At 43.7% G+C, this 16255-nt stretch overlaps 1 protein-coding gene across 8 annotated transcripts in view, besides 1 other annotated feature; it reads right to left on the reverse strand.

Annotated features, from left to right (window-relative positions):
* DSTYK (dual serine/threonine and tyrosine protein kinase) overlaps positions 1–16255 on the reverse strand; it is a 69198-nt gene that overhangs the window by 29381 nt on the left and 23562 nt on the right. For 3 of the 8 annotated variants that reach the window (NM_199462.3, NM_015375.3, XM_047417151.1), the window contains one exon: positions 15533–15921. The exons of 2 other annotated variants lie outside the window; for them this stretch is intronic. In NM_199462.3, the coding sequence (NP_955749.1) occupies positions 15533–15921 (389 nt within the window). Of the gene's footprint in view, positions 1–15532; positions 15922–16255 lie in introns of those variants that run through there. 3 more of the 8 variants (XM_047417145.1, XM_011509392.3, XM_047417147.1) reach the window with 2 other exon arrangements.
* Positions 2814–3315: an enhancer, noted in NCBI's record as "H3K4me1 hESC enhancer chr1:205143827-205144328 (GRCh37/hg19 assembly coordinates)". NCBI's record gives its function as "activates a minimal SCP1, AML or CMV promoter by ChIP-STARR-seq in primed H9 embryonic stem cells {active_cell/tissue: H9 hESC(primed)}" and the evidence as "EXISTENCE:reporter gene assay evidence [ECO:0000049][PMID:30033119]".

Genomic DNA, 16255 nt, shown 5'->3' on the forward strand with positions numbered 1-16255 from the left:
AAAGATACACAATTTCGTTTCTTTCAGATGATTATGCTGTTTTTATTTCTTACCCTATCTGAGCAGCAGGTTTATTGATTGATTGATTGAGATGCAGTCTCACTCTGTCACCCATGCTGGAGTGCAATGGCACGAGCTCGGCTCACTGCAACCTCTGCCTCCTGGGTTCAAGTGAATTCTCCTGCCTCAGCCTCCCGAGTAGCTGGGATTACAGGCACGCACCACCACGCCCGGCTAATTTTTGTATTTTTAGTAGAGATGGGGTTTCACCATGTTGGCCGGGCTGGTCTTGAACTGCTGACCTCAAGTGATCCACCTGCCTCAGACTCCCAAAGTGCTGGGATTACAGGTGTGAGCCACCACACCCAGCATGAGCAGTAGGTATTTTTGATAAAAGTTTTTCTGTTTGTTTGTGGTTTTTTTTTTTTTTCTGAGACAAGGTCTTGTGCTGTTGCCCAGCCTGGAGTGCAGTGGTGCAATTAAGGTTCACTGTAGTCTCAACCTCCCAGGCTCAAGTGGTCCTCCCACCTCAGCCACCCAAGTAGCTGATACTACAGGTGTGAGCCACTACGCCCAGCTAATTTTCATTCTTTTTTGGGTTTTTTTTTTTTGGTAGAGATGGGGTTTTGCCATGTTGCCCAGGTTGGTCTTGAACTCCTGAGCTCAAGCGATCTGCGCCTCAGCCTCCCAAAGTGCTGAGATTACAGGTGTGAACCACTGTGCCCAGCCTTGAGTTTTTAAAATCTTTTTTATTTCCAACAAAGCACAAATATCTCACTTTCTTTTCTCACAAAGAACTATGCTATATTCTCAGATAGGTCACATAACTTTAATTTGCCTGGCCACTTTGAACTCCCTAAAGCTCAAAGTGCTTTTAGCATCTCACCATTTGTCATTTTAGCAAACACTACATAAGTCAATCCACCCTTTATCCAACCCCAAGCCAAGAAGAAATTTGCTGTTTCATCTGTGTCTCAAGTTGCATGGAATGTTTTCTGGTTGGAAGACTAGTCTGATGCTCATCTTGCTATTCAAAACAAACCCCCTTTCACTACCCTGAGTCACACATGCTACAGTATGAATCATTTCAGTCAGGCATATTCAAAAAGTTGGTAAGTAACAAATTTTAAGGTTTAAAATAGAACATACAACTGCATAAATGACAACATTATAATCACATATAACAATGAGATAAAGACTAAAAGGAAAGGAAAACAGTTACATTAGGCTGGGTGTGGTGGCTCACACTTGTAATCCCAGCACTTTGGGAGGCTGGGGTGGGCAGATCGTTTGAGGTCAGGAGTTCAAGACCAGCCTGGCCAATATGGGGAGACCCCGTCTCTACTGAAAATACAAAAATTAGCCAGACATGCTGGTGCACACCTATAATTCCAGCTACTCAGGAAGCTGAGGCAGGAGAATTGCTTGAACCGAGGAGACGGAGGCTGCAGTGAACTGAGATCACACCATGCACTCCAACCTGGGTGACAGAATGAGACTGTCTCAAAAAAAAAAAAAAAAAAAAAGAAAAGAAAAGAAAACAGTTACATTAAAGTAAAGAATTATAGGTGGAAATATTTTTTATATTACAAAGCTGCCCTAAAGACATATTTTTTAAAAGATATAAATCAACCAATCAAATTTATGAAAGGAAAGCCTAAATATTCAAAACCAAAGTATTGTTTAGAAATTTCAGGAAGAATTTTGTTTGTTTTTTCTGATGGATTATCTTAAAATTCTAGAATAAATTTTCAGGTTTTCCTTAAAGGACCATTTTGTGTGCACAACAGAAACATCAGCCAAAGCTGCCAAGTCCATTTGTAAGACCAATACGGTTGTTTTTTTTTTTTTGAGATGAAGTCTCGCTCTGTCGCCCAGGCTGGAGCGCAGTGGCACGATCTTGGCTCACTGCAACCTCTGCCTCCTGGGTTCAAGTGATTCTCCTGCCTCAGCTTCCTGAGTAGCTGGGATTACAAGGCATGTGCCACCATGCCCAGCTAATTTTTGTATTTTTTGGTAGAGATGGGTTTTGCCATGTTAGCAAGGCTGGTCTTGAACTCCTAACCTCAGGTGATCTGCCTGCCCCAGCCTCCCAAAGTGCTGGGATTATAGGCGTGAGCCACCATGCCTGGCCCAATACTGTTTTTAAGAGACCAGCTGACTTTATTTGCTCATAGGTGTAAATTCATTATTAAAGAAATGAATTTTGGAAGTCAGGCACAGTGGCTCATGCCTGTAATCCCAGCACTCTGGGAGGTTGAGGTGGGCAGATTGCTTGAGGCCAGGAGTTCGGGACCAGCCTGGCCAACATGGCCAAAACCAGTCTCTATTAAAAATACAAAAATTAGGCTGGGCAAGGTGGCTCACACCTGTAATCCCAGCACTTTGGGAGGCCGAGGCAGGTGGATCACGAAGTCAGGAGTTCAAGATCAGCTTGGCCAATATGGTGAAACCCTGTCTCTACTAAAAATACAAAAATTAGCTGAGTGTGGTGGCACAAGCCTGTAGTCCCAGCTACTCAGGAGGCTGAGGCAGAAGAATCACTTGAACCCAGAAGGAGGAGGTTGCAGTGAGCTGAGATCATGCCATTGTACTCCAGAATGGGTGACAGAGTGAGACTCCGTCTCCAAAAAAAAAAAAAAAAAAAATTAGCTGGGCATGGTGGCATATGCCTGTAGTCTCAGCTACTTGGGAGGCTGAGGAATGAGAATCACTTGAACCTGGGAGGTGGAGGTTGCAGTGAGCTGAGATCACACCACTGCACTCTAGCCTGGGCAACAGAGTGAGATACTGTCCAAAAAAAAAATTACTTAATTAATTAATTAAAAAAAGGGATTTCAGGCTTTATTTTTAATTTTTTTTTTTTTTTTGAGACGGAGTTTCACTCTTGTTGCCCAGGCTGGAGTGCAATGGCACATCTTGGCTCACTGCAACCTCCGCCTCCCAGGTTCAAGCGATTCTCCTGCCTCAGCGTCTCGAGTAGCTGGGATTACAGGCATGCGCCACCACGCCGGGCTAATTTTGTTTTTTTAGTAGAGATGGGGTTTCTCCATGTTGGTCAGGCTGGTCTCAAACTCCCAACCTCAGGTGATCCACTCACCTTGGTCTCCCAAAGTGCGGGGATTACAGGCACCAGCCACCGTGCCCTGCCATGGATTTCGGGCTTTCTAATGGTAGAGTATGGCCTGATATATTGGCACCCACAAAGAAGCTGCCCTTTTTTTTTTTTTTTCTGAGACAGAGTCTCGCTCTGTTGCCCAGGCTGGAGTGCAGTGGCGCAATCTTGGCTCATGCAAGCTCCGCCTCCCAGGTTCACGCCATTCTCCTGCCTCAGCCTCCCATGTTGCTGGGACTACAGGCGCACGCCCGGCAATTTTTTTGTATTTTTAGTGGAGTCAGGGTTTCACCATGTTATCCAGGATGGTCTCGATCTCCTGACCTCGTGATCCGCCTGCCTCAGCCTCCCAAAGTGCTGGGATTACAGGCGTGAGCCACCGTGCCCGCCAGAAGCTGCCTATTCCTAAATATACCTTGTACTAAACAAAAATGGATAGAAAACAGGTATCATGCTCTGTCTTCTCCCTTCCCCAGTTGACCAACATGTGCAGTTGGTCTCACTGCTCTGAGTATCATGATTGTCAGAAGATAGGCAAAGAGCTGCTGGCAGAGACCCTGGCAGCAGTACGAATTAGGCTGGAATGTGATATGCGATTCTGCAATACTCAGTGAAGGGATGACTCATGCTTGACGGTTATAAACAAAAAAGGACGCCAACACTGTTTCCTGGAGACAGGGAGTGAAAAAATAAAAATTAATATAAAGAGGATGAGCCAGAGCTGTTATGGGCCTTAGTATGGCCACCTGAGAGGGAAGTCTGACCTCAGACTGTTTCATGGATGGCTATATACCTTCTTAGCACCTAGAACAGTGCCTGGCACTTAGTAAGCATCCAATAAATAAACATGGAATGAATTAATGAAGAAATGATGCTCAAAGCCACTTTCAATCGGCATATGTAAAATCTTCTATCTTTCAACTCCCATCCCACACATTTTATCCCACACATTTATCTGAAATTGCATTTGCCTCTACTCCAAGAATAAAGCAATGAGTAAGCATTTTGCTCCTAACTCAATCAAGTAAAAAGAATCTCAAGGAATCATGACAATAACCCATAATTCCTATATTGAGTCATAGTGAATTCCTAAAGAGATTTCTCTTGTAGAACGCATTCTGCATAAATCTGTGGAGTTTACAGAAGTTGATCTGTTACCACCCATTTTCTCGGCATGATTAAGAAATGCAATAGAGGCTGGGTGCAGTGATTCACGCCTGTAATCCCAGCATTTAGGGAGGCCGAGACAGGCAGATCACCTGAGGTTGGGAGTTCAAGACCAGCCTGATCAACATGGAGAAACCCCATCTCTGCTGAAAACACAAAATTAGCCGGGGTGGTGGCGTATGCCTGTAATTCCAGCTACTCGGGAGGCTGAGGCAGGAGAATTGCTTGAGCCCAGGAGGCGGAGGTTGCGGTGAGCCGAGATCATGCCATAGCACTCCAGCCTGGGCAACAAGAGTGAAACTCCCTCTTAAAAAAAAAAAAAAAAAAAAAAAAAAAAAAAAAGAAATGCAATAGAAAGGAGCTTGCTACTCTACAAACACCAGAATATACTTCTTTGGTTTTGTTTTGGGTATAAAGTGTAAAATGACACTATTTTATTTATTTTTAAATTTTTTGTAGAGACAAAATCTCACTAAGTTGCCCAGGCTGGTCTTAAAACTCCTGAGCTCAAGCGATCCTCCTGCCTCAGCCTCCCAAAGTGCTAGGATTATAGGCATGTGCCACTGTGCCCAGCCAGTGACGCTATTTTAAATGCCAAGAAGTAATCACTCAATCACTGACGAAGGCTGACCCCTTCCTAAGAATACTGACTCTTATAGGTGAAGAATCCTTACTCTGTAGCTCATGGCACATTACTAAAACTCTATTATAACAAAGGATGATTATACTAACTGATAATTCAAACAGAAAACAGTGGCCTGGCACAGTGTCTCACGCCTGTAATCCTGGCACTTTGGAAGGCTGAGGCTGGAAGATCCCCTTGAGCCCAGGAGTTCGAGACCAGCCTGGGCAATATGGCGAGACTCCATCTCTACAAAAAATAAAACAAATTAGCCGGGTATGGTGACACCCACCTATAGTCCCAGCTACTCAGGAGGCTGAGGCAGGAAGATCCCTTGAGCCTAGGAAGTTGAGGTTACAGTGAGCCGTGATCACGTCACTGCACTCTAGCCTGAACAACAGAGTGAGACCCTATTTCTAAAATATAAACAAACATACAAACAAAAAGCCAGAAAACAGTTATGTACGCAGGCTAAAGTTGGTAGGTAGCAGATGTCTTTGCTTTCTCTAGAGTTCTGAAGCCTCAGGTTCACACACAACTATATATTAGTAATTGTCCTGCCCTTGGACAGCCTTGACCTCTATCCTTGTCCCCATATTCTAGCTACTTTACTTCCAATTCTCCTCTCGTGACATTCTCATGGGGCATTTGAAAGGTTTCTCCTGTTTGTTTTCACACAGGGCTGATTCTTTTTCATTTCTAAATAGTTCCCTGAACCATCACTCTTAAATATTAATTACATATTAAGTAAAATACCTCCCTATTTTTGTTATTGTATAGAAAATACCTTGACTTGGCTGGGTGTGGTGGCTCATGCCTGTAATCCCAGCACTTTGGGAGGCCAAGGCGGGTGAATCACTTAAGGTCAGGAGTTTGAGACCAGCCTGGCCAACATACTGAAACCTTATCTCTACTAAAAATACAAAAATTAGCCAGGCATGGTGGCAGGCACCTGTAATCCCAGTTACTCAGGAGGCTGAGGCAGGAGAATCGCTTGAACCCAGGAGGCGGAGGTTGCAGTGAGCCAAGATCGTGCCACTGCGCTCCAGCCTGGGAGACAGAGCGAGACTTCATCTCAAAAAAAAAAAAAGAAAAAGAAAATACCTTGACTCTTTTTGGTACATATACTTTCCAAGGGGGAGCTGCAACCAAACAGGCTATAACATGTTTCTAGGTTATAACATGCCTCAAAGAAACTGGGATCAATGTGAAGGCAAACCAGAGTTTTATCCCAGTAGTCAACATTGAATGGATACAAGCTCATCTCCCTACCTAGTAAAAGCATCAGTGTGTAACTCAGGCCAGATATAAGACTTAGAAAAAACAGAATCACAGTCATAGCCCTCAGTAGCCATAGAAAGCATGAGACAATCATGCTAAAAGTAGAAGAATATTTATAATCCCAAACACCCCAAAGCAAAGGCTTTAGCTCTGATTCTCAACTCATGAGCATGAAGACTTTAAGGATCTCAACTCTCTTCTCTCTATCTCGAATGACAATGGATTAGGTAACCGACAAGTTGATAAGAATATATTGAATGGTCTCTATGCATTCTACCTAATGGACAGTCAAACACCCAGGTATCTACTGATGCAGATAACAGTAGAAATCTGAATTTTATTCTCTTGCCACTTACTAGATTGAGAGAGAGAGACAAAATATTTTCTCTAGAATGGAGAAGAGGGAAATAGAAAGGAGGGAAAACTTTACCTTTCAACTTTTATATACTTCTGTATTATTAACCTTTTATAACAGCTTTCTCCTTTCATTTTATTACAAAAGTAAGCCATAATGAATTATGAAGAACGTTCTCTCTAATAAGAGTAGAAGAATAACTATAAGTAAGTTGGAACAAGAAGCCTTAAGTTTTGGGAGGAGTTCCAATGTGGATGATCGTCAGGGAAAGGATGGGTGGCTGAGAGAGCAGGAAATCTTCTCAAGGACACTGATTTATTCAAAGGCAGGTGGAAATGGGCTTACTATGTGCCAGACACTGTGGTAGGTGCTTTCAACACATTCTCTCACTTTAGCCTCATACCAATTCTAAAAGATAGGAATTATAGGCCGGGCACACTGACTCATGTTTGTAATCCCAGCACTTTGGGAGGCTGATGCAGGCAGACTGCTTCAGCCTAGAAGACCAGCCTGGGCAACATGGCAAAACCCCATTTCTACAAAAAAATACAAATATTAGCCAGGCATAGTAGCATGCACCTGTAGTCCCAGGCACTCAGGGGCTGAGGTGAGAGGATCACTTGAGCCTGGGAGGTTGAGGCTGCAGTGAGCCAAGATCTTGCTACTGCACTCCAGCCTGAGCGACAAAGTGAGATACTGTCTCAAAAAAAAAAAAAGACAGGAATTATAGCCCCATCTTACAAATGAGAGAACAAAGTGACACAGCTAAGTGACAAAACCAGGATATAAATCCAGGTCCATGTAGCTACAAAGACAATGTTTAAACAGTCATTGAAGGCCCACTGTGTGTCAAGCACTGTCTGATTTGGTGTTTGGGAAGTTATGAAAGTAGAATAAAAGATAGACTAGATGCGGCCGGGCGTGGTGGCTCATGCCTGTACTCCCAGCACTTTGGGAGGCCGATGTGGGTGGATCTTGAGGTCAGGAGATCACGAGCATCCTGGCTAACGCGGTTAAATCCCATCTCTACTAAAAATATAAAAAAATTAGCCGGGCGTGGTGGTGGGCACCTGTAGTCCCAGCTATTTGGGAGGCTGAGGCAGGAGAATGGTGTGAACCCGGGAGGCAGAGCTTGCAGTGAGCCGAGATCGCGCCACTGCACTCCAGCCTGGGCAACAGAGTGAGAGTCCGTCTCAAAAAAAAAAAAAAAAAGATAGACTAGATGCTTTCAGGGGTCCTAACAATTCTAGCTAGGGTTCTGTATTAAGAAGTATATGCTGGTTACAAAGTAAAGGCTTTGTTATCAAACAAGATAATATCCTCTATGGATTGGCTGAGACATCACAATAGCAGTCAAAAAGAAAATATTGTTAATAGTCCTAACAACAGTTTCTGCCCGTTGACAATACTTTTCAATCTCTGAGTCTCTGAATTAGGGAAGATTCCCTACCCCATCCATCCTCTACTCAGAAGGAAACAAACAAATATGTGAGATAGTAAAAACAGAAAGGAAGCCATTTGGTGCAGGAAAGAGGTAGAATCCTAGCAAAGGCAGAAGACAAAAGAAGAAGATTAAGACTGTGACTGCTGTCAGATTTTTGCCTCAAGAGCTAACCCTGGAAGGCCAGAGATGAATCACTGACAGTGAATTGAGAAAATACAGCCTCAGCTTCAGGATGTTATTTTGTTTTGTTTTGTTTTTACTTTAAGTTCTGGGATACATGTGGGGAACGTGCAGGTTTGTTACATAGGTATGGTTTGCTGCACCTATCAACCCGTCATCTAGGTTTCAAGCTCCACCTGAATTAGGTATTTGTCCTAATACTCTCCCTCCCCTTTCCCCCCAGCCCCCGACAGGCCCCCGTGTGTGATGCTCCCCGCCTTGTGTCCATGTGTTCTCATTGTTCAACTCCCACTTATGAGTGAGAACATGCAGTGTTTGGTTTTCTGTTCCCGTGTTAGTTTGCTAAGAATGATGGCTTCCAGCTTCATCCATGTCCCTGCAAAGGACATGAACTCATTCTTTTTTATGGCCACACAGGATGTTTTTATTTATTTAGTTATTTTTTGAGACAGAGACCCAGGCTGGAATGCAATGGCGCGGTCTCAGCTTACCGCAACCTCCACTTCCCAGGCTCAAGTGGTCTTCCCGCCTCAGCCTCCTGAGTAGCTGGGACTACAGGCATGTGCTACCACACCCAGCTAATTTTTGTATTTTTTGTAGAAAGAGGGTTTTGCCTTGTTGCCCAGGCTGGTCTCAAACTCCTGAACTCAAGCGCTCTGCCTGCCTCGGCCTCCCAAAGTGCTGGCATTACAGGCGTGAGCCACTGTGCCCAGCCAGGCTGTTCTTTTAAGAGATATCAAGGTTACTATAGTGAGCATAGGGATTAAAAAAAATTATTGCCTCTGAATCACACATATCCTTCATAGGTATATTAGCCTATAACAGGAACTCCCAGGTTTTTTGGTAAAGAGCAATGTATGCAGGATGGTTAGATTTTACTATGTATGCTAGTGCATGCTAGGGTAAAGGTGAGAGAGATATTAAAAACAAAATAGGATTACTGCCATGAAGAATTTATAATTTAGCATTTACCTGAACTTTCCACATCCTTTTTAAATATATCACTTCAGTTTCCTTTTTTTGCCACATAAAATAAGAGTTTTTAAAATTTTAATTATACCTCTAGAATATCATTTCTTGTTTCTCTGTCCTGTACATATAAATGATCCTTGTTTCTTTTCCCTTGGAGTTGACCATTTTTTGGCCCAATTCCATAGACTCCTTCCTCCAACAGTATCTTCTTGCCCTGAGGATCTCACTCAGCAGTCTTTCCTACCTTTTACCTATCAACTTTTATCTTTTAACCTAGATATACTCAAGAGACAATATGGTATCTAACTAAAGGTAAGTAATATATAACAAATGTTGGGTTTGTTTTTTTTGAGACAGAGTTTCACTCTTGTTGCCCAGGCTGGAGTGCAGTGGCATGATCTCGGCTCACTGCAACCTCTGCCTCCCTGGTTCAAGTGATTCTCCTGCCTCAGCCTCCTGAGTAGCTGGGGTTACAGGTGCCTGCCACCATGCCCAGCTAATTTTTGTATTTTTAATAGTGACAGGGTTTTACCATGTTGGCCAGGCTGGTCTCAAACTTCTGACCTCAGGCGATCAGCCCACCTCAGCCTCCCAAAGTGCTGGGACCACAGATGTGAGCCACAGATGTTGGGGTTTGTGTGTGTGTGTGTGTGTGTGTGTGTGTGTGTGTGTGTGTGGCGGGGCAGGGGTGTGGTTTTTTTTGAGATAGGGTCTCACTCTGTCACCCAAGATGCAATGCAGCCTCGACCTCCTGGGCTCAAGTGATCCTCCTGCCTCTGCCTCCTATGTAGCTTGGACCACAGGTGTACACCTCCACACCTGGCTAATTTTTTGTAGAGACGAGGTCTCACTTTGTTGCCCAGTCTGGTCTTGAAATGCCAATACCTAGACAAGAATTGAGAGATGCCAGTTTTCTAGCAACAAACAGTGTTTAGTAAATTTGGGGTTAAAATTTTATGTAAACTTGTCATTTTAAGATCCTTTATAATGCTTATGAGTTGTAAAAGCATTAATTACTGAAAATTTTAAAATAGCAATATCTGTTTATTAAAAACAGGTTAGCAAAACAGACGAACAAACAAACAAAAACAATTAGTGGCCAGGCGTGGTGGCTCATCCCTGTAATCCCAGCACTTTGGGAGGCCGAGGCAGGCAGATTGCTTGAGCTCAAGTGTTTGGGACCAGCCTGGTCAACATGGTGAAACCCCGCCTCTATAAAAAACACAAAAATTAGTCAGGCATGGTGACGCACGCCTGTAGTCCCAGCTACTTGGGAGGAGGCAGGAGAATCACTTGAGCCAGAAGTTGCAGTGAGCCAAGATCGTACCACTGTACTCCCAGCCTGGACAACAGAGTGAGACCCTGTCTCAAAAATTAAAAAGCCAAAACAAACCAAAACAAAAAAACAGATTAGCTATTAGTTGAGGACTATAAAGATAAAACTTTACTACTCCCATTGGTTAGAGTTAAAAACGGTAAAAAAAAAAAAAAAAAAAAAAAAAGGCCAGGCGCTGTGGCTCACGCCTGTAATCCCGGCACTTTGGGAGGCCGAGGTGGGCGGATAACCTGAGGTCAGGAGTTCGAGACCAGCCTGGCCAACATGGCGAAACCCCATCTCTACCAAAAGTACAAAAATTAGCCAGGCATGGTGGCAGGCACCTGTGATCCCAGATACTCGGGAGGCTGAGGCAGGAGAATCGCTTGAACCTGGGAGGCAGAGGTTGCAGCGAGCCGAGATTGCGTCATTGCATTCCAGCCCGGGTGACAAGAGTAAGACTCCGTCTCAAAAAAAAAAAAAAAGTTCCCTGAAGTAAACCCCAACAGATAACACCATGAGCCAAAAACCAGGTCAGTATGTGGAAGCCCAAAGGGCCAAAAGCACCTGGTGGGGATAAACAGGCTACTGATCAGAGCAGATCAACTGAAGGTATGTAACTGCCACAGTAAATGAAACGCCACCTCCAGGCTGCAGGAATCCCATCTTACGCTGAGCAAGTTTAATCACTTCTGCTGCTGCTTCTTCCTTTTCTTATAGGTGTTCACAGGAAAAAAAAAAAAGCACACACACACACACACACACAGAGATATATCAGATTGAGCAACTCTAAGGCAGACAACTGTTCCATCAGATTTGTAAGAAGAAAGAAAAAGAAAAGGAGGTGTCAGATATACATGCTTGAAGGAAAGGCAGGAGGGTGGGGAAGAGGGAGTACTTTTGTATACAAAGACACAACTAGTGAATATGGTGAATGGTGAAATGTGCTGCCAATTGGAAAGTGACTATATTTGAACACTAAATGAGGTTTCAGATACTAATGGCTTGACGGTGTTCCTCTATTGTTGAATTATGAACTGAGAATCTCAGGGGATCCAGAATTAAAAAGGTGGAATACCAAGCAGTGTGGGTCCATGTGAGTTGGCCTATTCTGGAACAAACTGAAAATGGCTAATTTATGAGGACTTTAAAATAACGTATTAGAAGAATGACCATTGTATAAGAGGGCAGGGGAAATTCTGCTTTGATAATTTGACAGTTCAAAATGAACATTGCATTTCCCCTAATTCAATCTTGATTTCCTTTAGCTAAATGTTTCCTTTCTTTACTACCCTCTTCACAAATCAGATGGAAGGGCTGTTTAGAGCTAACTCACTGGTCCTAAAAATAACTGGAGCTAAACAAAAAGCTCATTCTTGCTGGCATGAACAGTCTTCCAGGTAGCTGCTGTACAATGCCCCCAGCAGTAAGCTGAGCATTGCTGATGTATCTAACAGAGACAGGAGCTGGGCTGCAGTGAGAGGGCAGTGCTTGGATTCCACGAAGGTTGCAAGGCCCTCTGAGACTCAACATCAAAGGGTTCTAAACTTAGAACTACAGGGATCTGGTATGAGGCCTACATCAAAACCACTGGAGAATAAAGCAGATCTTGAGAAACACTGGCCAAGGAAGCCTCACAAACCACATGAAACAACATGAGAGGCTAGAGAATTCCTCAAGAAAAGAGAAGAGAGAATATATTTTTTAACTATGCTGAGAGAAAGCTGATTTGGTAACTCAACACCCCATCCAAGTAGTCTCCTCAGTTGTTCCCTCTGTCTGCATGCTTAGCACACACCAGGAGCAGGCCCTGGGAGCTCTCAGTGGGAAGACACATGCTCAGATACGCGCTTGGGGGGATGGCTCATACTTTCCTTTTTGTGACTTTCTTATATCACCTCAATTTATGGAACAAAAGTAAATGAGCATTAGAAATTAAAAAAAAAAAATTTAGGGCCAGGCATAGTGGCTCACGCCTGTAATCCCAGCACTTTGGGAGGGTGAGGGGGGCGGATCACTTGAGGTCAGTAGTTCCAGACCAGCTGGCCAACACAGTGAAACTCCATCTCTACTAAAAATATAAAAATTAGTCGAGTGTGGTGGCAGGCGCCTATAATCCCAGCTACTTGGGAGGCTAAGGAAAGAGAATCGCTTGAACCCGGGAGGCAGAGGCTGCAGTGAGTCAAAATCACTCCACTGCACTCCAGCCTAGGCAACAGAGTGAGACTCCATCTCAAAAACACAAACAAACAAAAAAACCCACAAAGTAATGAAGAGAAAGATCTTTAAAAAATTTTTTTTGAGACAGGGTCTCATTCTATTGCCCAAGTGTTGTACAGTGCTACGATCACAGCTGACCACTGCCTCCACTGGTTGAAGGATCACTTGATCCCCCAACCCCAGCCTTTCAAGTGGCTCAGACCACAGGTGTGTACACAGGATCTCACTAGGTTGCCCAGGCTGGTGTTGAACATTTGGGCTCAAGCTATCCTCCTCCCTCAGTCTCCCAAAGTGTTGGGATTACAGGCATAATCACTGTGCTCAGACAAGCATTAGAAATTTAAACCAATAAAATGAAGGGGCCGGGTATGGTGGCTCATGCCTGTAATCCCAGCACTTTGCAAGGTTGAGAGGTGGGAGGATCACTTATGGTCAGGAGTTTGAGACCAGCCTGGCCAACATGGCGAAACCCCATCTCTACTAAAAATACAAAAATTAGCTGGGCGTGGTGGCACACACCTGTAATCCCAGCTACTTGGGAGGCTGAGGCAGTAGAATTGCTTGAATCTGGAAGGCGGAGGTTGCAGTGAGCCAAGACTGCGCTACTGTACTCCAGCCTGGGCCACAGAGCAAGACTCTCTCTCAAAAATAAAAAATAATAATAGTAATTTAAAAAAATAAAATGAAGGGACTAAGAGAAAAAAGTCAAATGATTTGCCTCTCCTGCAGATGGCTTTGTCACATTCCAGGATTGTTACTAAAGGCAAGAATGGGGAAAATCACCACCTGACTCACAGCAGTCATTTCTGCTATTTAACAGTATTATTATTATTTTTTTTAGAGACAGGGTCTCACTATGTTGCCCAGGCTGGATACAACTTCTTAGGTTCAAGCAATCCTCATGCCTCAGTCTCCCCAGTAGCTGGGACTACAAGGGTGTGCCACTGAGACCAACAGTGTTTTTTAAGCTACAGGTTATAATCTATCAGGTCATAGCATCAACTTAGTGGGTTGCTACTAACATTTTCAAAAAATGAAGTCGAAGAGAGAAGAAATTATCAGTATGTATTGCAGAAAGCAAAAGTAATATTTCATGAAACTTATATTTCAAATGTATATGTGTATATATGTACTGGGTCCTGAAAGAAAATGTATGTCTTACAGTGAATTAAAATATAAAAAAGTAGCCAGGCGTGGTGGCTCACGCCTGTAATCCCAGCACTTTGGGAGGTTGAGGTGGGTGGATCACTGAGGTAAGGAGTTCTAGGCCACCCTGGCAAACATGGTGAAACCCTGTCTCTACTAAAATTACAAAAATTAGCCAGGTGTGGTGGCGGGTGCCTGTAGTCCCAGCTACTCTGTAGGCTCAGGCAGGAGAACCACTTGAACCCAGGAAGCGGAGATTGCAGTGAACTGAGATCGCACCATTGCACTCCTGCCTGGGCAACAGAGAGAGACTCCATCTCAAAAAAGAAAAAAAGAAAAGAAAAAAAATATATATATAAGTTTGAAAACCATTGAGCTATTGGAAGCTTGAAGGAACTAGACCAAGACTGTATACTACAGAGAGACTGTGTATGGATGGATGAAATACTTGTGAATTGTGAAGAAGTTCATGGGTCAACTGAACATGCCACAGTTAATATACAAAGATTACTGCCAGAGTTACTATCAGAGCTATTCAAAAACCCTCACATTATCCTGGAGCTAGGAAATGTGAACTCTCAGTTTGAAAACACAGGAAACCACCACTGAAACTGAGCTGAGAGAGAATGGGGGCTTGTTACATAGCCCCCTGTGGCATTTATCAAGATGAAAGAAATATGGACTGTGGAAGGAAATGAGAGGACAATTTTTACTTCTAGAGTGTCACAGGCCATGGCCACAACCAAAGGACTCATTCATTGACTGAGAAACTAAGCTTCTTAGAAGTGGGGTAGATGAAGTGGTTATAAGAAAGAAGGAAAGAAGAAACCACTCTTTCAGGTCCTGCCAAACTAGCCCATCCTTCCTGGCACAGTTAACCAAGAGCAAAACTCTGAGTATGGCTGAATTATTTTATCCCTACCCACTCCTGACCCTGCCATAGTCACATCCCCATTTGGTCTAATTAAATAGCCTGGTCCTAACTATCCAGTAGGAAAGGAAACGCAGACCAAGACAGAAGTTATTTCCTAAGTGATAATGTATAAAGTCTTAGACAATATGATATCTTACGAGATGGCACAGATCTGTGCTCTCTTTGGGAGTTTATGAGAGAAACTAAGATACTCTTCAAATAACAGGATCTCCGCGTCTCCTTACATTGAGCCAGACCTGTCCTCACATTCCCATGTTCCTTATAAAGTAGGAGAAATGATCTATCCTCTGTACTACTTAGTAAATTAATGGTTAGATCTAAGGAAGAACCCACAAAATTCTTCACTTGGTCTCAATTCCAATAAGAACAATACTCATCCATCATCTATCATTCCTTTTAGAAAGAGGTAACTAGAGACAATTCAAGCAATATCTTCCTGTTAAGAAATGAGAAAGGATTTCTAACTTTGATTACAATTATTCTGTAAAAGCATGCTAAGATACAAGTATCACATATTCCTTTCATTTCAGAAACAGAGATAAGGAAGTGAGGAGACAAGCAAACTACTCAGGGCCTTGCAGCATGGTAAGGAGAGGCAGGAATGGGTATTGCTACAGCCTTGTTTGTTTTTCAACTTCCCAGATTATGTTCCTCTGACTCCACTAGCCACTGCTGCTCAGAGTTCAGACTATATATCATCGAATTACTTTTTTAGAAAGTCAAAATAAAAGGAAAGCTGGTATATATGTATACAATTGGTATAGAAGTATGAGATTGGTACCTGTAAGAGAGCATGGTGCATCGTTACCTCCAGTTCCGCTAAAACATGAGCAGCATCCTCATTGTTCTCTTGGACCTCCAGATCCTCCTCAGGGATGGTCTCCCAGTTGCCCTGATGAGCAACCAGCGTGTGCACTAGTTCATACTGTCCAGGGAGCGCCAGGCTGACCCGAGTCTGAGTCCCATAGGTGAAGCGGAGGCGCCGAAGCTTACAGCTCTCCTCACTGCCCAGCTTGGTGGTGGGAAGCACCTGCACCCCCAACAGCAGATTCAACAGCTGGCACTTGACGTTACAATCCTGGCCGAGGATCAGTATGCAAGGGAGGCAGTCCACAATCTGCTGGAGGTACTTCTCTTCCTTAGGTGGGAAGGAAATGCAGCTCAGTTGGCCTGGTTGGGGAAGGGGAGAGTGGAGGAAGAGAAAGGAGTAGAGAGAGAGGAGTGAGGAAGGGGAGAGAGAGAGACTCACGCAGAAATCCCATGAGGAAGACAAGGTCCTAGAGGAGAAATTTCTAGGAACCTTGGTTGAAGGACATATCAGGGAAAAAACCCCAGTGAGAAAAAGCTCTTCACATATCAAACAGAATTCCTTTCCCTAGCTCACCCCCTAGGAACAAACTGTTATTTCTACCCAGAAATGTGGGAGTGACCTGATCTTCCCGCCCCGCTCCTTTTTCATTCAGTGGAGGGACAGCCTAAGGAGTTTATAAGGACTCCATCACAA

The sequence above is a fragment of the Homo sapiens genome, chromosome 1 (assembly GCF_000001405.40).
Source record: "Homo sapiens chromosome 1, GRCh38.p14 Primary Assembly".
NCBI classification, from domain to species: Eukaryota; Metazoa; Chordata; class Mammalia; order Primates; family Hominidae; genus Homo; species Homo sapiens.